Source organism: Homo sapiens, chromosome 2, assembly GCF_000001405.40.
Source record: "Homo sapiens chromosome 2, GRCh38.p14 Primary Assembly".
Taxonomy (NCBI): Eukaryota; Metazoa; Chordata; class Mammalia; order Primates; family Hominidae; genus Homo; species Homo sapiens.
In genome coordinates this window covers 113,236,894-113,258,234 of record NC_000002.12, presented here as the reverse complement: position 1 = coordinate 113,258,234, position 21,341 = coordinate 113,236,894, and the positions used below count along the sequence as shown (strand labels likewise).

At 48.5% G+C, this 21,341-nt stretch overlaps 1 protein-coding gene and 1 long non-coding RNA gene across 6 annotated transcripts in view, besides 1 other annotated feature; one reads left to right on the top strand and one right to left on the bottom strand.

The window, feature by feature from the left end:
* Positions 1 to 21,341, top strand: part of PAX8 (paired box 8) — a 62,925-nt gene that overhangs the window by 20,687 nt on the left and 20,897 nt on the right. For all 4 annotated transcript variants that reach the window (NM_013992.4, NM_013953.4, NM_013952.4 and 1 more), the window contains exons 3-7: positions 11,316 to 11,481; positions 13,611 to 13,808; positions 15,457 to 15,545; positions 16,105 to 16,227; positions 16,509 to 16,684. In NM_013992.4, the coding sequence (NP_054698.1) occupies positions 11,316 to 11,481; positions 13,611 to 13,808; positions 15,457 to 15,545; positions 16,105 to 16,227; positions 16,509 to 16,684 (752 nt within the window). The remainder of the gene's footprint in view (positions 1 to 11,315; positions 11,482 to 13,610; positions 13,809 to 15,456; positions 15,546 to 16,104; positions 16,228 to 16,508; positions 16,685 to 21,341) is intronic.
* PAX8-AS1 (PAX8 antisense RNA 1) overlaps positions 1 to 21,341 on the bottom strand; it is a 31,497-nt gene that overhangs the window by 8,789 nt on the left and 1,367 nt on the right. The window contains 2 exon segments of one of the 2 annotated variants that reach the window (NR_015377.2): positions 2,686 to 2,845; positions 7,329 to 7,468. This is a non-coding gene — a long non-coding RNA (PAX8 antisense RNA 1). 2 annotated transcript variants of the gene reach the window in all.
* Positions 16,116 to 17,315: an enhancer, noted in NCBI's record as "P300/CBP strongly-dependent group 1 enhancer chr2:113998497-113999696 (GRCh37/hg19 assembly coordinates)". NCBI's record gives its function as "activates an origin of replication core promoter dependent on BRD2, BRD4, P300/CBP, MED14 and CDK7 cofactors, with strong dependence on P300/CBP, by STARR-seq in HCT116 cells {active_cell/tissue: HCT116}" and the evidence as "EXISTENCE:reporter gene assay evidence [ECO:0000049][PMID:35650434]".

Below are 21,341 nucleotides of genomic sequence, written 5' to 3'. Positions count from 1 at the left end.
ATTAGGTGCCCTCTCTGACTGGAGAAAATTTAAAAAGGAAAAATTAGGCCCCAAGAAAATGAAAAGCTGGAGAGGACTTGGAAGTGTGTTTTGGAAAGCACCCATACTTGGTAGGTGACGAAAGGACATATTCGCTCTTAGGGCGGGGTCTGGCTATTCCTGGAATACAGTGCTGCTGCCAGGGGTGGCGCCGGAGGTGGGTGGGCAAAAGTAAGCAGTGCAGAGCATTCACTATGGCATCTGAGAGCTCTCAGCTTGAGTCTCAGTAATGCCACTTTGTAAAGGTGGAGCCTTGAACCTGTTACATGCCGAATCTGTTCCTCATCTTCTCATCAATAAAATGATAATGTACTTCATTTCTCAAAGGGTTATTATAAGAATTAATTGAAAAGATGCATTTAAAATACTCAGCTTGGCCCAAAAATAAGCACCTCCCATAATACTGGCTATGATTATTATTCTTAGGCATTGACTAATGGGGAAGAGGGGCTGGGTACTAAAGATAGCTCTTCCTCCCTCCTTCCCCCACTTCCTCTTCTTTTAGGTCCAGCATTGGTGAAATACGAGCCTAGTTTGATTCTCTCCCAGACAGAGTCTAATCCAAGGGAAACCTCTTTATCCATCCTCTATCTCCCTCCCCTGTCCCTCCCCAGCTCCCTCTCACTATTGGGGATGAAATAATAATGCTAAGCCTTCCACCACAGCCACCCTCTGGGCTGATCTAAGGCAGAAGCATCTAAGGAAGCCAAATATCACATTCGATTGGAAGACCCTCTTATATCTGCCTGAGCCTCAGAGTGTAGTAGACAAGGAGCTGGCGTTGGTCCTCATGGCCTCACATCTTAGGATCCTCCTGGGATGCATTAAAGAGCATAGACACCCCACCAGGGAAACAGAGCCCCAAAGACCAGCACACAGCAACAATAACAAGCTAGGAGTCAATCGGTAACAGCCTAGTCATGGGCACTAGAAGGGGAAAGAAGGAGCTGGGATTATTTCCTACCCCTCCAGGCATCCCAGAACCCTGCCCTTTTATCATTACTAAGGATTTTAGAAGAGAGAGAAGAGAAATCAATCCAGGCAAGAAGAGGGGCAGATAGGGGTGGGGGATCTTTGCCATTTGCTAATAAATAAGTTAATTAACTTGAAATCATTACAAAAAGAATCTTCCCATAAAACCATAACCTCCAAGAGGGCAGAGACCCATCTTTCTTCATCCCCCTATGTCCCCAGAACCTGGAACAGTGCCTGTTATGGAAATGGTGGGTCTCAGTGGTGAGGGTAATGGCTAACATTTGTGGACGGTCTACTGAAGCCCAGGTCCTGTGTCAGGTGCTGCACGTGCACCATGTTATTTAGATCACTTGGCACACTTAGAAGGAAAGACAGAAAGAAGTGACAGAAATTCATGCCAAAGTAATAAGTTAGTCAGAGGTGAAGCAGGGGTTTCTGACTCTCTTCTCCATATAGCTTTAAGGAATGGAAATAAATGAATACATGAACCTCACCCACTCATCAGGGCAAGAGGACAGATTTGAAAGCTACCTCTCAGTTTGGGTGTTATTCTATATATATATATACACACACACACACACACACACACATATATATATATATACACACACACATATATATTCCATATATGGAATATGTATATATATATAGAATAATAGAATATATGAGGGACTGATAAATGGGCCACCCGGCAAGTAGTAGAAGTTTAAAGGATAGTGGAAGGACTTTCTTCTTGTTGTTGTATGTGGCTCTTGTCAGCCAATACCTCAGCAGCAGTAGTTGAATCAGATTCCAGCTCTCAGCTCTCCCAGAGCCAGCCTCACATGCCCCCAGCAATAGCTGGGATGAGCCAGCCCTTCGGAGATCCAATCCCCAGCTCCACAGGCTCTTCCTCTAAACATGTAGCTCTGATAACTCCAGTTTCTTCCCTTTGATTCCTCCAGGCTGAGGAGCAGTGGTTGCTTCCTGTAGCTACTATCTCTGGGCTATTTCAGTGTTTCCTTTGTGCTCTTACAGCCCTCCAACACCAGACAACAATTCCCCATATTAAAGCCCCTTTGTTGAAATACCTAGGAAGGTTTCTGTCCTCTGACCAAGCCCTGGCTGATACCAGAAGAGATCTGAGGAAACCAGATTTTAAGACTGGATTGATCATGTCCTTGGCCTTGAACACAGTACTGAGCTCCTTGACAATGAGAACTGGAGAACTTTTTTTTTTTTTTTTTACTGATTGAGCCCTGGCAGGCATATGCATGCAGCACTGCCTACACAGTCCTGAGTCAGAAACTTCTCATGGGGTCTCTGAGTCTGGAATGTCTGAGTTCTCAGAAGGGGTAGCATTTGCTGCTAACCCTCTGCCTCCCTAGCTTGAGCTGTCTCTCGTGGTTTTTTCCCCTGATGGATGTTAACATCTTCCCAACAGAGCTATCAACCCAGTGAGGGAGGAGTCTGTGTAGATCACCTCCCATCATTCTCCATAGAGTCTCTATGGCCCAGGTTAGAAGAAAAAGACTTCTTGGCTCAGACTCCAAAGACTAGAGTCAGTGACAGTTTCCTTAGTGGTGTAAAATGGCAAGAGTAGCACTAATCTCACAGAAGACTCCTGCAGAACACACTGCCACATTCAACCATAAAGCTGCTCTCAACAGTGTGAGCCTGGCAAGCACTCACGCATTTAATGTTGACGTTGAAGATCTGATATGTGAGCCAACAGGAAGACCTCTGCATTCATACCCTGACTCCTTCAGAAGCAGGGCAAACCTCTTTTTTTTTTGGACTGTGGAATCTGGACCGTCTTCTTTAAATAACTCATTTCTGTGAGTATATGTGTCTGTGGAAAACAGAATTCTGTTTAAGGCAAAGAAGGTGTGGGCTTCACTAGACTTGTAGATCTGCCTCCCTCCTCCCCTCCCTCCTCCCCTCCCTCCTCCCTCCCTCCTCCCCTCCCTCCTCCCCTCCCTCCTCCCTCCCTCCTCCCCTCCCTCCTCCCCTCCCTCCTCCCCTCCCTCCTTCCCTCTCTCCTTCCCTCTATTCCTCTGTCCCTCCTTCCTTCTTTTTTTCTTCCTTCCTTCTTTCCTTCCTTCCTTCCTTCCTCCTTCCCTCTATTCCTCTCTCCCTCCTTCCTTCTTTTTTCCTTCCTTCCTTCTTTCTGTCCTTCCTTCCTTCCTCCTTCCCTTCCTTCCTTCCTTCTTCCCTTCTTTCCTTTGTTCTTTCCTTTCAATAACCAACAGGCACTTATATTCTGCTTACTGAGACTATGTCCTGGCTTATTTAAAAGAAAGGACCAAAGAGAGCAGGCAGGGAAAGCCAGGGAAGACTTTCTGTAGGAGGGAGCTTCCTGAACCGACTCCTAAGGCATGAATGGAAATCAATCTGGAGAAGGTGAGGACGGGCACTCCAGGCATGGAGGACACAGTCAAGGACCCAGGAGAGGATTCAGATGCAGCGAAAGAATGGCAAGCAATTCTGTGTTGTTAGGGCATCAGGTTCAAGGCTCAGACAGGTAAGAAATGAGGCTTGAACACTAAGTCAGGGTCAGGTAGTGGTAGGCATTGTCTACAAGATTTAGTAGCTTGGACTTTGCCATGAAGAAAATGATGCCATGCCTTGCAAGGATTCTTAAATATGGGAGTGATATGGCCAGACTAGGATTTAGATGTGTTGCTCCCGAGCTGGGTAGCAAAGGTTCACTTGAGCAAGGTTGGATGTGGAGACCAATGAGTCCAGGTGAGTAGTTAACTCCTACTCACCTTCCACTCAGGTTACATGTCATTTAGAGACATCTTCCTAATCAGCTTGAGCTCATTCTCTCTTGCACCCCCACCCCATTACACCCTGTTGTGTTCTTCTTAGCACTTATTCCAAGTAGTAATTACACATTTATTTCTGTATTTACTTTTTAAATATATACCCATCCCCAGCCTACCTATCCCTAGCCTGAAAGCTTCATGAAGGTAGAAATCAATTCTATGTAATCAGTTCTATTAAAATGTTTGCCACATGGTAGGCATATAAAATACATGTAGAATGGATAAATGAATGCAGGAATATTTGAATGCTGGGGACAGACAGGAAGGTATTGGTTAGGTAAATATTTAGGAGGTAAAACGTGGTCTTGTGAGTATTCCATATGCAGAGAATGGAAAAAGATAAAGGCTATTAGTTGATTCATGTGACATGTTTACTGAACACCTAATATAATTTAATAATGATCAAAACGAAAGAAGTCTTCCCCTCATGGAGCTTTCTATCTGGTGATAGAAGACAGTTATGATTCATACATATATAGTTATGCAAAAAATGTAAAATTAAAATTTGGACCTAAAGATGCAATTAAATTTATCTATGATACCTCCCCAGTCCCCCCAAAATTCCTCCCTTGACTATGAGACTTTTTCTTCCCCTCACTTTCAACCAGATTCCAAACAGCAGTTATATTTGATGCTACCTTTCTATGACAGCCATTCAAGAAAGGTAAAGCATGTTATTAGAACACCCAAACAGAAGCCTGAACCTACTCTGCAGGATAAAGCAAAGCCACCGAGGAAGTGACTCAGTGCTGAAATATAAAGGATGAGCAGGAGTTAACTAGATACGACAGGGAGACAAGAGCTCCAGGAGGAGGGAACAGCATGTGCAAGTGCCCCAAGGCTGGGGACACACTGTTACTTCCAAGGTTGTGCAGAAGACCGATGACAGTGCGGTGCAGAGAGTGTGGTGGCAGGTGGCAGGAGGTTGAGTGGAAGGGGCAGGCCCTGAGCTTGCATGACAGCTGGTATTGTTACCAACCAAGACAACACTAGAGGAGGAGCCCCCTTATCACCTAAGAGGAAATCTCCAATAGAAATTGAAAACAAAAGTTGGGGGAAGGACCTGACTGGGGTTACCTGGGATGCCCATGATGCCATCATGAGATGGGTAGTAGGTATGACAATAAGGGTGTGTAGGATCACCAAGGATGGCCTTGAAGGGGGAGAGAAACACTGAGAACTAAGAGAAGCCTGAAGGGAGAAAACATATGTCATGGAGCAAATAAGGGAACAGAACCCCATTAAAGCAAAGCAAAAAGCCTAGACTGAAGGTATAAGGAATCAGGAGATGGGATTGTCACTAAAATCTCTTCAAGAGGGAGAACATGGCACCCTCCAACCACTCACTGTCCATCCATGGCCACTCATCACCAAGCACATGCTAAGCAGGAGGCACAGAGCAGGCTGAGCACCGAATGTGAAGGGAGGAATGGGCTGCAAGTATAGCTGCTTTTTGAGAAATTTAGTTGAAAACAATAGGAAAGAAGAGTATCATGGTCAAGGGAAGAATTTTTTTTGTTTAATGTATTTTGAGGTCAGGGGGTGGAGAGGCAACATAGATTAATTTAATTCCATTTGTACGTTTAGGGGAAGGACCTGGTATAAAAGAAGAGGTAAGTAATGTTTTTAAATGGGAGGATAATTGACGGAGTAGGATTCCAGCACAGGTAGAAGGGCAAGAGATCAATGAGAAACACAAGCCGCAGCTTTGCCTAGCTGCTGTCTTTCGGCTACAGTTTCCCTTAGGAAGACAAGTGTAAGGCACAGAGGTAACCAAGGGTCATGCAGCAAGTTGGGGGTAACAGCAGATGCAGGATGCTGCTTTCCAGCATGCCAGCCTCTTTTACCCAGTCCAAGGGTCTCATGTGTCCAGGTAACCCATAACCTCATGTGTGCTGGCATGATCCAGTGTGCAGACTTTGGACACTGGGATTCCATGGCCCTGGGACACTTTCTTCAGGAGCAGTTGGAGGCACAGACCCTGGCCTTTACTCCAGAAAGGCACCAAGCCAAGAGGATTAGCTGGGAGGTGGCACATGGAGATCACAGACCTGCAAGTGAGCAGCTGGGGAAGGCAACAACACCAAGCTGAGAATGCCAGGGACTGATTCGCATGGACAAGGCCTTTCCTTTGTGGAAGGCGTATAGGCCTGGCATGATTTGAAAGGCACCCAAAGAGGCCACTGCACCTCTCACTATAGCCCTGCCAAGGCTCAGCTATCACCTTGACACTCTATGGGACTAAAGCAAAAAGCCCCAGATAGTTAAGTGGAAATTTTTGCAGAACACCACATTGAGCCATTGCCACTTTAGGACTGGGCAGAGCCGCAAAAGATAAAGCAAAAGGATAAAGAGGAAAGTACTGAAGCATGGGATTTGGGGGTCCCACCATGCAGAATCATGGGAATCCATGCAACAACCATAACCAATGTAAACCATTTTTCTATCACTTGTATATAAGAAAACACTAATTACAGTAGACAAAGACAGGGCCCCTGCCTTTGAGTAACTCATAAAGAAACTCAAATAGAGAAAGTTACTGTTCAATGCAGTCAGTGCTATGATAGGAATTTGTGCAAAGGACTATAGGAACATGGAGAAAGGATTTCCACATCTTAAGGGTTTGGATATTGGTGCATATAACAAGAATTTTGGTCAATAAGTGTCTCTGTTTTCTTTCTGCCATCCCAACTACTCAGAGCTCTATAAAGGATGAAGAAATTACCAACAAAGTCCTAAGACCTCCCTGAATGGTCACTTTTCAAAAGGATATGTTTCTGGACAGCAAGCTTCACCTAGACCTTTGCTGAGCTCCAATCCCTTTACTGTACGATAAGTCCTCTCTGACCCCAGGAAAGCTTGCATTTCCCGTCTGAGTACCTTTCACTCAGGAACCTGCTTGCATCCGGCCAGGCGGTCTTGTCTTCCTCCCCCATACCCACCCCACCTCCCCACTCACAATCCTCCAGACATACAAAGAGTCTTTGCTTATGAGGCTTCAAACCTCTTCCTGGGCCACACCTTCCCCCCTCACCCCACTTCCCGCCCAACCAGGAGGCTCCTACTCATTTTTGGCTTCCGGCCTCAAAGCCCACCCCACCTGCAGCTGCATGAAGAGGTGGTCAGCACAGTGGGCGCCAATCGTCCCCCCAACCCCAGTGCAGGAAGGAAGTCTGCACCCACCTCTGGGCATTTGGTGGTGACTCACCCAGAAGAGTCCACTCCCCCACACCGGACACAGGAAAGACAAAGGTCTTTCCATTGCAGAGACTCAGCTTAAAACTTCAAACCATAGGGGCCATCTCCATCTGCAGCCAGCAGGCTCTTTCCAAATTCTCTTTCCTGCCTGTCCTACAGCCACACTAAATGTCTTTCAATTTCTTGAAGGCACCAAGACTTTATGCATGGATTTCTTTCCCCCTGAAGAAAATTCTTCACCTAGTTACCTCCTAGATACTCTTCCTTGCAGCTTCCCTCTAACCACTTACGGGTCTCCCCAAGCACCTGGACTTATATCCTTCAAGAAAGATAACCATTAACATGGTGATTCCTAATGTGTCTTATCATATCCCCCAAAAGGTTCGAAGTTCCTTGAAGGCCAGGATTCTTGTCTTGTTCAAGGTTGTATTCCCAGTGCTTTGTACCTGAGTCATGATAGGCACTTGGTCAATGTCTTGAGTTGAAAAGAAATGAAAACCATAATATACAAACAATCATTATTATTGTCAGAAGAATGTTGGAGGAGTATGAAGAGTTATTCTCTTACGCTTAATTTACCAGCCATCACCTGGCCTAAACCAGTGGTTTTCAAAGTGTGACCCTGGCCTAGCAGCATTAGCACCATGTGGAAACTTCTTAGAAACATAAATTCTTAGTTCAATCCCAGACCTACTGATTCAGAAACTTAGGGCATTGTGCTCAGTACTCTGTATTTTAATAACCCTCACTGCCAAGTGATTCTGATGCACACTGAAGTTTGAGAAAACACTCCCTAGTCCTAGTCCTACTCCCAAGATTGGGTCATAACATTCAACCATGGGAATATTACAAATTAGAAAAACGTTACATTTATAGCAAGATTTGTTTATCTAAATAAACACTTCTCCATCCTGGTCCCCCTATCTTCTTTTTTTTTTTTTTTTTTGAGATGGAGTCTTGCTCTGTCACCCAGGCTGGAGTGCAGTGGTGTGATCTTGGCTCACTGCAAGCTCTGCCTTGCGGGTTCATGCCATTCTCCTGCCTCAGCCTCCTGAGTAGCTGGGACTACAGGCGTCTGCCACCATGCCCGGCTAATTTTTGGTATTTTTAGTAGAGACGGGGTTTCACCATGTTAGCCAGGATGGTCTGGATCTCCTGACCTCGTGATCCACCCACCTCGGCCTCCCAAAGTGCTGGGATTACAGGCGTGAGCCACCACACCCAGCCCCCCTATCTTCTTATAGGGGTTTAAGTCAGCAGCAGGCATAAGTTTTGTTAAGCTCCATTCGATAGATAAAAACACTAAGGTTGAAAAAAAAACCCACTTTCTCAAATGATAAGACTAAAACAGGCAGTGTCAAAGAAGGGATCAGGCCCAAGACTCTTTCCACAGTAACACAAAGTCATTCAGAAGACAGTCAAATAAAATAAGCACCAGAGAATTCACCGTTTAGGGGCCAGAAATGTGAATGCATCTTTCCCAGCACTACAATGCTTGCTGATAACGGTAAATAACCTCTCAGGTGGCTTCCTGAGGGTTTGGGTTTCTAAGGATGCGAGTCAGTCCTTCATAATAATTAAGAGCAATGTCCCACACAACTTACAGCGTCGTTTTCTTTTTTTAAAAAAAAGGCACAATACCCAATTCATGCCACCCCAGAATGGCATTTTTTTTAAACCTGCTTCACATTTGTAGAGGTGAAGAACCTCCACCTCTAAGAAACCTTGCTTTCAGATATAGAGGTCCCAGCCTAAACACCTAGGTTTGGGTGGATACGGCCCGGAAACTTCTGGAAAATGAGGACAAAGCTGGACTGCTGAAGGTCTTGTCTGTGTTTGGGTGGCTGTCTGGCGCCCCCTTGTGTTCAGTGCCTGGACCCAAAAGAGCCGGAAGGCAACAATGATGCAGTGAGGGCAAATGGCTACAGCAATTCACAAATGGCACTCTGGCCAGTGAGGACCAGAGGAATGGGCTTAGGACTGGGCAAAGGCCCCTCTGCCCACCATCTGGGCTCTCCTGAAGGCCCTCCAAGCACTCTTCCAGCCCTAGTGGAGAAGCAGTCACTAGGAAGACTTGCCTGGACAGGCATAGGTGGAAGCTGTGCCCAAGCTCACCCGTTGTGTCCACCAGGAAGATGGGTCATTGCATCCTTCTTGCTGGGTGTTTGGCCAGAGGGCTTTTCCTCCTGACTTACTGCCCAGGGCAGAGGCTTAGAGCACCCCCACCTCCCTTTTTTTTCTTTTTTTTGACGGAATTTCGCTCTTGTTGCCCAGGCTGGAGTGCAATGATGCGATCTGGGATCATCACAACCTCCACCTCCCAGGTTCAAGCAATTCTCCTGCCTCAGCCTCCCGAGTAGCTGGGATTACAGGCATGTGCCACCATGCCCAGCTAGTTTTTTTTTTTTGTACTTTTAGTAGAGATGGGGTTTCACCATGTTGGTCAGGCTGGTCTCGAACTCCTGACCTCAGGTGATCCGCCCGCCTCAGCCTCCCAAAGTGCTGGGATTACAGATGTCAGCCACTGCACCTGGCCCCCACCCCCTTTATTAAAGGGAAATTGAGTGTTCTGCTGAAGACAGCTTGGGCCCCTGAGGAGACATTGCAAGGCAGTTCTGAATGTGCTAAGTCAGTGGGTGATAATGGGCACTGTGTGCCCAGCAAAGGCACTTCCCACCCTCGGCCATAAACAGTCTTTAACTGGTTCACACAGAAGGCTGGGGTTGGCTCTTCCTTCTCACCTGCCTGCTCCCTGACTCCCACACTGCAGGGCTCTACCTTCCCAGTCATATCACCAAATCCTGCCCTTGGTGTGAAAAAGACCATGGCATGTTCAGCACAAAACAGCAGAGCCAATGACAAGCATCCAGGCATAGCTCTAGCCCCAGAACAGGGCTCCCCTCAAGGAGCAGCCCTGATCTGAGCCTTAAATTCTGGATGGATCTCAGCTCCTCCTCATATAAGCTGAGTTAGACAAGTCATATAAATCAGAGCACTAAAACTCTCTGAGCCCCAGTCTCCTCATGAGAAAAATGGAAATCTCGGCCCTGAAATTAGCCCAGTATGGCTCTAGGTACTATAGAGTTGAATATGTTGGAAAATCTAACAGACAAGTATCCTCTTGCCTCTGAGTCTTTGCACATTCTGTTCCCACTGCCTGGAACAGTTTTCTCCCCTCTCTCCCTCACTTGGCTAGTACCTGTTTATCTTCAGTCTCAGCTTAGACCTCCTCAGGAACCCTTCTGTGTTTCCTTGAGCCAAGTCAAGTTCCCCTCCAGTGGTTCCCATAACTCTCTGCATGTCACCAGTCCCAAAAGTGGTCACAAAATATGTTAACTGGCTGTTTGCTGGTCTAGGACCTCACTGTAATAAACCCCATGAGGGAAGAATAGGGATCATGTCTGCCTTATTCACCTTGGCATCATCAGGGACCTGTGCAGTGCGTGGCACATAGTTAGCACTCAATACAAATGGATTTGACTGGATAGATGGGCTCAGAATGAAACACAGGCTGGGGCCAGAGAGCAGAGGCCAAGTCAGGAAAGCAGCTAAGGGAACGTGTACACACATCCATGACGTGGATAGATTCCCACAGTGGCCTGTAGCCCCTGTGTCAGTCCTGGAACCCAGTGCTATCTATGCCTGTGAGGACCCTGCACCAGGTCCCTGCTGCTCTGGCCTATTAGAGAAAGAAGGAACCTTGGGGGTCATTCAGGCCAGAAGTCCACAGACAGAGCTCAGGCCTTCTCTGCCCAAGCTCTACCAGAGAGTTTCTGCTTTTATTCTTTTGTATTTTTTTTTCTCAATGAGGTAGTGTTTTAAAATCTGGTTCCATGAGGAGAAGGAGAAAGGTGAAAATCACCTGTGCCGTCATTTTACAAAAGGAAAAGAGACTCTCAGAAGAGAAGGGGTTTTCCCCAAGGTCAAACGGCTCAGTATTGGTATGGGAAGACCCCACATCCTCAATTCCTTACACACTTTTCAGAGGGAGGGAAGAAAATAGGGGATTGTGATTTGGAGTGAAGGGCTGAGTCTGCCTGAAGAGTCCCCAAGCCCAAGGTGCTCCTGTGACACCATCCCATCGTGGGGGATGAGCATCACATACCATTTGTGCCAGCATCTTGGGAGTGAGAACTGGGGAAGGGGTGCAGAGGGGCCCACAGGGCCTGGCCGTGGGATTTCATGGTCACAGTCAAACACACACACACACACCAGCACCTGTACTCATAGCTAATCCCCACCCAAACTCCTACCTGACCCTGACAGCTGTCCCTGGGAATATTGTCTCCTTAGGCCATGGAGGGCTGAACCAGCTGGGAGGGGCCTTTGTGAATGGCAGACCTCTGCCGGAAGTGGTCCGCCAGCGCATCGTAGACCTGGCCCACCAGGGTGTAAGGCCCTGCGACATCTCTCGCCAGCTCCGCGTCAGCCATGGCTGCGTCAGCAAGATCCTTGGCAGGTAAGCACGAAATTCACCGCAGGCCGCCTTCCCCGCAGGGCTTGACTTCTCCAGCTGATCTCAGGGCAGCTAGAGAATTCCCCTCCCAGGGAACGGGGATTTGCTCCCAATGTCCAGCTTTGGTCCTGAGACCTGAACAGTTATGGTGGTCCTTCTGGGCCTCTACCCAGCCACTATTTTTCTACTGTTTTCTTGCCCTTCCTTCTTTCTTTGTCCATTTATCCTTCTTTTAGTTTCTCCCTCTCCCTTCTTCTCTTTTGCTCCATGTCTCATTAGCTATAGGCTTCTCTCCTGCTAAGGCAAGAGAATCTTCCCCCAAGGTCCTCCTCCTACCGAGACCTAGGGAAATTAGGCCACTAGGGAGGGGACACACAGATGAGCTCCCAAGGTCTAACCCCTAAAAGAGTGATATCTGAGTTTGTGCTTCTCAAACCATAATTCCCCAAGACCCCAGATCAGTGCTTCATAGCCCTGGTAGCACATTACAGTCACCAGGGGAAGCCTGATTTTTAAATAGCAATACTGTTTATGCCCCAGGGCAGACCAATTAAATCCGAACTTTAGGGAAATAGGCGCAAGTTTTGGCATATAACTCCCCAGCCCATCCGCCCCCAGCAAGTGACTCTAATTCTCTGCAGCCAGGGTTGAGAACCACTGACCCAAAGATTCAGAAGAGACCAGGAGCAGCAAAGGCCTGCTTCTGAGCTGATGCAGTCACAGATTCCAGTCTGCAAAGCCACTTCCATTAAAAATGCCTCTGTGCCACAGCTTCCAGTCAGCTCTGTGTACGTGTGCCTGTCCCCCTGCTCTGACCCTTAGGTGGATTTAGGAGGAGCCCTGGTTGGACAAGGTAAAGGGACCTGGACTGTTCTTTGAACCGTGAAAAGCCCTGGCTCCCCTCCTGAAGTAGTTAGGGAAAGGCATGATCCTTTGCTGGGCTAGGGAGAGGGGATTCCTGTGATGGGTTGTGGTGTCCCAGAAGAGATGAGTCCTGGATGGAAGTAACAGATGAATGGAGTTTTAAAGAGCTAGATTCTTTTTCATGCAGATGAGAGCAGAGAGTTTCTACAACAAGAAGAGGAGGATATGCTGACACAGGCGGTTGATCTGCCAAAGCAACTAGTTGGAGGATAGAGGGAGGGGAAGGGTGGAGGCCCCAGAAGAGGAGGCTCAGCTTAACAAGTTGGACCTGGCTGGGGATCCAAGCAAGGTCAGGATTCCAGAGTCCATGAGGAGAAGCTTCAACTTGAACCTGCTAAAACCTGATAGAAAACCAGTGACCAGGGGGGTGAGGGATATGCCTCAGGCTTGGACAGGGCAGGGAGCAAAGGTGAACCAGCAAGACAGAGCAGAGGGTCCAGTGACCTCGGCTAGCTTTCTAGGTGGCCAAAGAAAATAGTCAGTCATTGGCTGGGCATGGTGGCTGATGCCTGTAATCCCAGCACTTTGGGAGGCCAAGGTGGGCGGATCACTTGAGGTCAGGGGCTCAAGACCAGCCAGGCCAACTGAGTGAAACCTGTCTCTACTAAAAATGCAAAAATTAGCCGGGTGTGGTGGCAGACGCTTGTAATCCCAGCTACTCGGGAGGCTGAGGCAGGAGAATCACCTGAACCTGGGAGGCAGAGTTTGAAGTGAGCCAAGCTTGTCCCATTGCATTCTAGCCTGGGTGACAGATTGAGACCCTGTCTCAAAAAACAAAAAAAAAAAACAAAAAAAACCTCAGTCGTGCTTTAGCCAAAAGAAGCTGGATAGAGCAAACTGCTGTGCCCCTGTCATTCACACATCAGGCACACCAAGATTTCCTTTCTTAGAAGGGAAATCTTTTGTGCCCCATACAATGGCTGTTGCAGATGCTAGGACACAAGAGACTGGCCAGAGGGAAGGAAGAGAGAGAAGCCAAGGTGAGGCCTTTAGCAGAGGGTGCTGGTTTGGCAGTAGCATGAACCTACCCAAGTGAGGGAAACAGATAGTTCCATGCACATCAAGCGTTTGAGACCAGCCTTGGAGGCACATTTCACTCTCATACCCCTACCCAGAAGCCTCAGAGAGGAGGGAGGCTCTGGCTAAATCCCTGTCTAAAGACCCCACCTGCTTATTGGGTAATTCTTTGGGATTCTCTATTGGAGTAGGTACTACGAGACTGGCAGCATCCGGCCTGGAGTGATAGGGGGCTCCAAGCCCAAGGTGGCCACCCCCAAGGTGGTGGAGAAGATTGGGGACTACAAACGCCAGAACCCTACCATGTTTGCCTGGGAGATCCGAGACCGGCTCCTGGCTGAGGGCGTCTGTGACAATGACACTGTGCCCAGTGTCAGCTCCATTAATAGGTAAGAGAGAAAGCAGCCTCTGGTGTCAGGCTGGGGCCCCTGGGCTTTGGGGAAATCAGGAAAGAGACAAGAAAGGCCTGGCTTGGGTGGAGCAGAGGCCGGGAAGGGGCCTGATGCTGAACAATCAGGCAGGGAGCACACCTGGCTCCAGGCAGATATCATACCTCCCTGCCTCCTCCCTTGCCCCATGCTATGGGGCACCCTCCCCCTGGCCCCCAGCCATAGTGTGCTATCTACAGTTTCCTTCCTCAAACACCACATCTGCTTTCATTCAATAAAAGAATCTTCATGAATTGATCCTTTTCTAAGCCATCAGACCCCTAACCCAGCCCACATTCAAGCATTCATTCGTTTAGTCCCTCAATGATTCACTCACTGCCTCAATCAATCATTTACTTACTCACTCGCTTGTTCATTAATTCATTCACACATAATTCACTCATTCATTTTGTGCTAGGCCCTGGGACACACAAAGCCCATCTTTGCGGAGCTTACAGTCTAATGAGAACACAGATATTAATCAACTACCTACAAAAAATATTGTAAAAATGCAGCTGTAAGTCCTGCTAAGAAAAGGAACATGAAGATATGCAAGGTAGCACAGGATTATTTGGTTTATGAAGTTCATGAAAGTCTTCCCTTGAGTAAAAAACAATAAGAGAACTAGGTGAAAAGAGCTCAGACAGTTATGCAAAGGCCCTGTGGCTAATAGGATCAAAAGAAAACCAGTAGATAGGCCAGGTGCAGTGGCTCATGCCTGTAATCCCAGCACTTTGGGAGGCCAAGGCAGGTGGATCACCTGAGATCAGGCGTTCGAGACCAACCTGGCCAACATGGTGAAACCCCATCTCTTCTAAAAATGCAAAAATTAACTGGGTGTGGTGGCGAGTGCCTGTAATCCTAGCTACTTGGGAGACTGAAGCAGGAAAACCACTTGAACATGGGAGGCAGAGGTTGCAGTGAGCTGAGATCACGCCACTGGACTCCAGCCTGGGCGACAAGAGCAAGACTCTATCTCAAAAAAAAAAAGAAAGAAAGAAAAGAAAACCAGTAGATAAAGAGCAGGGGAGCACAAGGTAGGCTGAAGTTGAAGATGTCAGCAGAGGTGACCTTTCAGAGGCTGGGGGCTGTGTTATATCTTCTTGCCTTTGGTCATAAAGCAATGGGAAACCCTTGGCAGATTTTAAGCCAACTTGCATTTCAGAAAGTCCACTCTGGCTGCAGTAGGGAGAATCACTTAGAAAGGGCCAAGAGGGGATGGGCGTGGGCCACTGAGTGACCCTGGAACACTGGTGATGACATGCACTAAGGTGCTGATGGAGAGACGCAGAGAGGGGTCAACGTTGGCAAGGTTCACAAGGTCAAAACACAGAACTTGATGATGGGTTTGATAGGAAAGAGAGGGAAGCAGAGGTTAAGCCCCATCTCTGTTTTGGCCTTGAGTGACTGATGGTACCAATCATGAAATGCGGACAACTGAGGAGGACTAGGCATGCGGAGTAGGGTCACAGACTTGACTGTGGACAGTTGAGTTTCAAGTGCCTTGGAGATACCCAAAAGGGGTGTCAAAAAGGCGACTGGGTCTGGGGCAGCCATGAGTTCTCTTTCCTCCTCTTCTCTCTCATGGCCTTTCTTCTCTTCATCACAGAATCATCCGGACCAAAGTGCAGCAACCATTCAACCTCCCTATGGACAGCTGCGTGGCCACCAAGTCCCTGAGTCCCGGACACACGCTGAGTGAGTGCTGAGAGACCTGGATACACACACATGCTCGTGTACACCTCCCCTTCAGCATACCCACATATACACAGAGGCACACACAGACACACCCACACAGACATAGCTGTGCACAGTACCATTCACAAACCCATGTGTAGACTGAGTTGTGCCACTGCGACGAAGTCTGGCCTGTTCCCAGGGCAGATTCACTGAACTATGGAGAGGTGCAAACACTTGAGACAGCTCTAACTCCAAGAATCCCTCCCACCAGGAGGCCCCCTGGAGGAAGGACCTGAGCCCCTCCAGGGCTCAGTCCATGGTTCGGCTTGCTGCCTCCTGCACAGTGTCAGCAGGGACTGTGAGGGGTGTCACTCTCACTCCCTGACCCTCTCCCTCTTCCCACCACCGCAGTCCCCCCAGAGTCACCCCAGGGCTGTAAGGGGTGTCCCACCCCTTGCTCCTCTCCCTCTCCCCCAGCCCCTGCAGTCCCCAGCTCAACTGTAACTACCCCAGAGTCACCCAGGGCTGTGAGGGGTGTCACTCCCACCCCTGACCCTCTCCCTCTCCCCCACTGCAGTCCCCAGCTCAGCTGTAACTCCCCCGGAGTCACCCCAGTCGGATTCCCTGGGCTCCACCTACTCCATCAATGGGCTCCTGGGCATCGCTCAGCCTGGCAGCGACAAGAGGAAAATGGATGACAGTGAGTGCTGGGACAGGAGGGCAGCGGGCGGTGCACGAGAGCAGTTTGCTCAGGCTTTGATGGGGACAGAAACCCTTCCACTTATGATATGGGACTTTGTAGGGGCTCTGCATGTGACTGTCACATGTCCTGTCCCTCAGTTGGCCAAGGCTCCTGGGCCCACGTGGCTGGCCCTTTTTCTCCCTCCACAGTGAGTCAGCTTGGAGTCAGTCCTCTACTTTGGCCTAGAGCATGAATAGATAGGTCCCCTAAAAGCTTTCTTCCTTCCCGGGGGGTACCAGGTGATCAGGATAGCTGCCGACTAAGCATTGACTCACAGAGCAGCAGCAGCGGACCCCGAAAGCACCTTCGCACGGATGCCTTCAGCCAGCACCACCTCGAGCCGCTCGAGTGCCCATTTGAGCGGCAGCACTACCCAGAGGCCTATGCCTCCCCCAGCCACACCAAAGGCGAGCAGGTGAGAAGCTGGGCCCTGGGAGGTGAACAGGGTGGGCAAGGGCCAGAGAAGGTCTATTCTCCAAATGAGCCTGTGCTCCATCAAAGCAGCTGGAAGTTGCATCAATGGGCTCAGGGCACCTGCCTTATGCAACTCCAAGCCTGACACATGCTTTATTTTACCAGATGCCCTGGCATCTTCCTCCCTTTCTAACCCTCCTGGCTTCCTTCACCCAAAACCTTTGAGCCTGGGCCTTTCAGGGATGGCAGCACAACCTGATGATGCTATCCCTTGCCATCAGCGTCTTTCCCAGATTGCAACATCACGTTCCACAACTCTGAAGCAGTAGCACAAAGCCTTCACATAATGACCTCAGCCACTATTTCCTAGCCCCACCTTTGGCCACTCATCCTGCACACCCCATGCTCTTGCATTACTCATGGCCCCGAGCTCACCACCCTCGCTCACACCTCTCTGCCCTTGCACACTGTGTGCCCTCCACACAGAATGCCTTTCCTCCCACTTCTCTGCATGGAAAAATACCACTAGCCTTCATGACTCAGCCAAACATCACCCTCTCCGTCAGTCCTCCCCTGCCCCTCCGACATGAATCATCTCTCCTGCCTCTTGCCCTTCTGCATGTCCCACATGCTGCTCTCAGTAGCTTCTCACAGTGTCACTTAATAATCTAGCAGACAGACAGGTACAAAGACACGCGGACTCCTTAAGGACAGGGAAGCCTCATGAAACGTTAAACATCGTTTTTATTCCCAGCACCTACCATTGTGCCCCCCTTATAATAGACAGTAATGGTATAGTGAATGAATGAACAAATGAATGAGTTGAGAAATCCAGAATAATACATCACAAGCTACAGCGAATTTTTCTTGCTAGTGCTCAGGACAGGTGAAATGAATCATAACAGGTTGGTGTCCGTGAAAAGCTGACAGAGATGTGAGAGGTCCCACCCTGAGGCCAACAAAGACTCTGCAGCTCTGGCAGAACCACTAAGCTCTCAGCTCCTAGTCATCACATCTTTTTCCCTTAACCCTGCCAAGTCAACCAGATGAGGAGTGTCTTCAGGGTGGGTCTGTTGCCCCTCTTTGCCCATGCCGTCATTTGCTGTAGGAGTGAGGCAAGTCCATATGCCTTTAAGAACCGAGTAGGACAATGGAGATGATGCCAATAATCAGCCCAACCACTTCCAGTGACCGTCTGGGCTGCTGGTCCCGTGCCAGCACTCGCAGCTGGGCAGGCAATCTGCATCAGCAATTTTATCAGCGTTGACTGTGGCAACCACGAGCGTGCAGAGAAAGCTGACCATCAGCAGCATGGGGAGAGGGCCTGGGGTGCTCACGCACCAGTCAGCACACAGCTCCAGGAAGGAAAGGGGTTGCAGTGGGGGGCCTGCAGGAAGCTCACTCTGTGAGAGTAAGCCTGCAAAACTCAGTGTGCAGGCACCAGCCACTCAGTGAAAGTAAAGAAACCCTGCTGATGAGACTCTGGACACCCGCTGAGTCCCAGAGCCATTTCCTGGCTCCATCCCTAAGCCCCCCAAAGGACCCTGCTTGACTACAGAGCACCCCCATGCCATGCTGGCATATGAACATGGGGAATCCTGGAATGAGAAAGTCTTTGAGCTTTCAGGGACCTCCATGACCACCTTGTCCAGTTTCTCCATTTGTGTGGAGATAATCCAAGCAAGACAAGGAGGGCTTGGGCAATCAGAAGGTTTTGGAGCTCAGGCCTGCCAACCCTCATTTCATTCAGACTGGTCCACTGTCACCTGTTTCAGATATGGTGCTTCTACGTAAACACTTATTTGAAGACTGAAAAAAAAAGCATTTGAAAACCATTAAACTTCTCCAACCACTCATCTTTCAGATGAGGAGACTGAGGTCCAGCAGTGTCCATAAATTATTCATTACCTCCTCAGTCAATCATTATTCACCCAGTCATTCACCTGGAGGGTGGTGAAGGCAGGGAGAACCAGCCAGTGCAAGGGCCCCTCATGTCCTGCCTGGCCTTTGCTTTTCCTACCTCTGGTAACTGACTGTGCTGCCAAAGTAACACTCCGTGCTCTCTCACCTGGGCATAGGAATGCCCTCTGGCTTGGGGAGCCAAGAAAGAAGCACAAGTATTCATACCTGACCTTAGGACAGGTTGTAACACAGCTATCTTTTCTGCAAAATCAACAAGTGGGGGACCAGGCATGGTGGCTCACACCTGTAGTCCCAGCACTTTGGGAGGCCAAGGTGGATGGGTCACCTGAGGTCAGGAGTTTGAGACCAGCCTGGCCAACAAGGCAAAATCCCATCTCTACTAAAAATATAAAAATTAGCCAGGCCTGGTGGCGTGCACCTGTAATCCTAGCTACTCGGGAGGCTGAGACAGGAGAATCGCTTGAAGCTGGGGGGCGGAGGTTGCAGTGACCCGAGATTGTGCCACTGCACTCCAGCCTGGGTGACAGAGCGAGGCTCCATCTGAAAAAAAAAAAAAAAGGGCAGGGGGAAGTGTTCATCAGAAACATCATGTGGCCTTATTCCTGGTTGCTATTTCATGACCAGACATAGCTAGAAGTCATACAGCTCTTGTTTCCCTATTTTACAAATGCATCAAAAAAAATCAACAGAATATGAATATCAGTTTATTGACAGAAATCAAGAATTTGGTGGCTTCTGACTCTTCACGATTCTGAAATAATATCTGTGATAACTCTCATTGGGCATCTGCTGTCACCAAGTATTCGGTGCTAAGCACATTATGTATAAGTATACAAAATTTCATGTAATGCTTACGTCAGCCTCATAAAGTAGAGTCTATGATTCCCATACAGGTGAGAAAATTAAGGTTCAGAGCAGTCAAGTAGACTAAAGCTACTTGGCAGGTCATTGCAGAACCAGGGCTCAGAGTCGCTGAAGTTCTGAAGCATTGTGCTGCTCTGCCCCGATTCAAGTTCAATTCCAGCTAAAAAGCCCAATAATCACTGGGAAGTTTCAGTCATTGAATACAAAATCACCAAAAGATTTGACTATATAGGTTTTCTTTTTCCTTTTTTTCTAAGTTACTTGGATTTTGAAATAGCTATAGGATTCTGAGTAGATATTTTGCTGTCAAAACAACACATCCATAAAGCATTTTAAACTTCTCTTATACGCTCTAGAAATTAGGTATTTTGTTCAATTTCAATAAGACACACCCTGGCCAGGTGCAACGGCTCATGCCTGTAATCCCAACACTTTGGGAGGTCAAGCCAGGCAGATCATGAGGTCAGGAGTTTAAGACTAGCCTGGCCAACATGGTGAAACTCCTGTCTCTACTAAAGATACAAAAAATTAGCCTGGCATGGTAGCACGCACCTGTAATCCCTGCTACTCGGGAGGCTGAGGCAGGGGAATCACTTGAACCCAGGAAGCAGAGGTTGCAGTAAGCGAAGATCGCACCATTGCACTCCAGCTTGGGCAACAAGAGCAAAACTCCGTCTACAAAAAAAAAAAAAAAAAAAGGCCCTAAGCAACTCCACCCTGCCTCTAAGTGGGCCCCCTTGGAAGGCATGGAACCAGAGCACCATTTAGTCAATAATTGCTGCTATGTGCTAATGGTGCCCTGGTGGCCTCCAGAATTGACTGCAGCTTCCAAAAGTGCCCAGCATGCAACCGGAAAGTGCTGTGGATCTTTGCAGAACCCAGCTCGATGGAAATCACTGAAAACAATTGCCTTTAGTGGCACTGTTATGTAACTACTGAGCATTCCCTGAATTCAGCTTTGCACATCTCACGTAGCAGGTATGTGACGAGTGTGAAGGTATGTGGGGAATGGGTGTGTTCTTTTTTCTGCGCTATCTGCTTCCCCAGTGGAAGGAGGCCATGGTGAGGATGAGGTACACTTACCTTTAGTTAAACAAGTTCTTTTCGGAAGGAGTACCTAAGGTCATAGCTGTGCTCCTGGGAAGGGGAGGCCAGGAGGCATCTAAAATGAGGTCTTACTGATGAAGACCCCCAGGTACTTGACAAAGAGTGTTTCCAACAAAAACAACTCTCAATACCATTTTCAAGCCGAACTTGCACACTTCTATTTGTTTGGATGTGGAGAGAGAAAAGAAGAAATCCACGTGGTGGGTAAAGCACCTGGGTCCACAGCCGAAAAATCCCGGGTTTAGTCTGTTTCACTATACAAAATTGGGCCATTTACCTGAGTTCCAGGCTCCACATATAAAACACAGACATAATATTACTCACCCATGTCACTGGGCTGCTGGGGGACTCTACTAGGACAACAGAGGCAAAGCTCTGATATAAGCTCTTTGCAAATGTAAGAAGTGGTCCTTATGTCACCCAGTTTAGGGCAGTGGTTGAGAGCAGACACATTCTGATCCCTCGAATCTGAATCCTATCTTTGGCCCATCTGGAAGTGGGACAAGTTTCTTAAACCTTTGTGCCTGGGTTTCCTATCTGGGGAAGAATAAATTAACAGATGCAAGGACCCTGAACAGTCCGGTTGGAGACTGCTCCAGTCCTTGGCACCGTCCTGCATTCTGTGGGTCCCAACAGTGTGGTGAAACCAGGAAGCCGACCAGCCATCCAACCAGGGTGTGGTCCTCTGGCTGAGACTCTCTATCCCACGTCTGGGCACCCATGCTACCAGCTGGCCTTGAATTCCAGGGATGCGGGAGGACAAT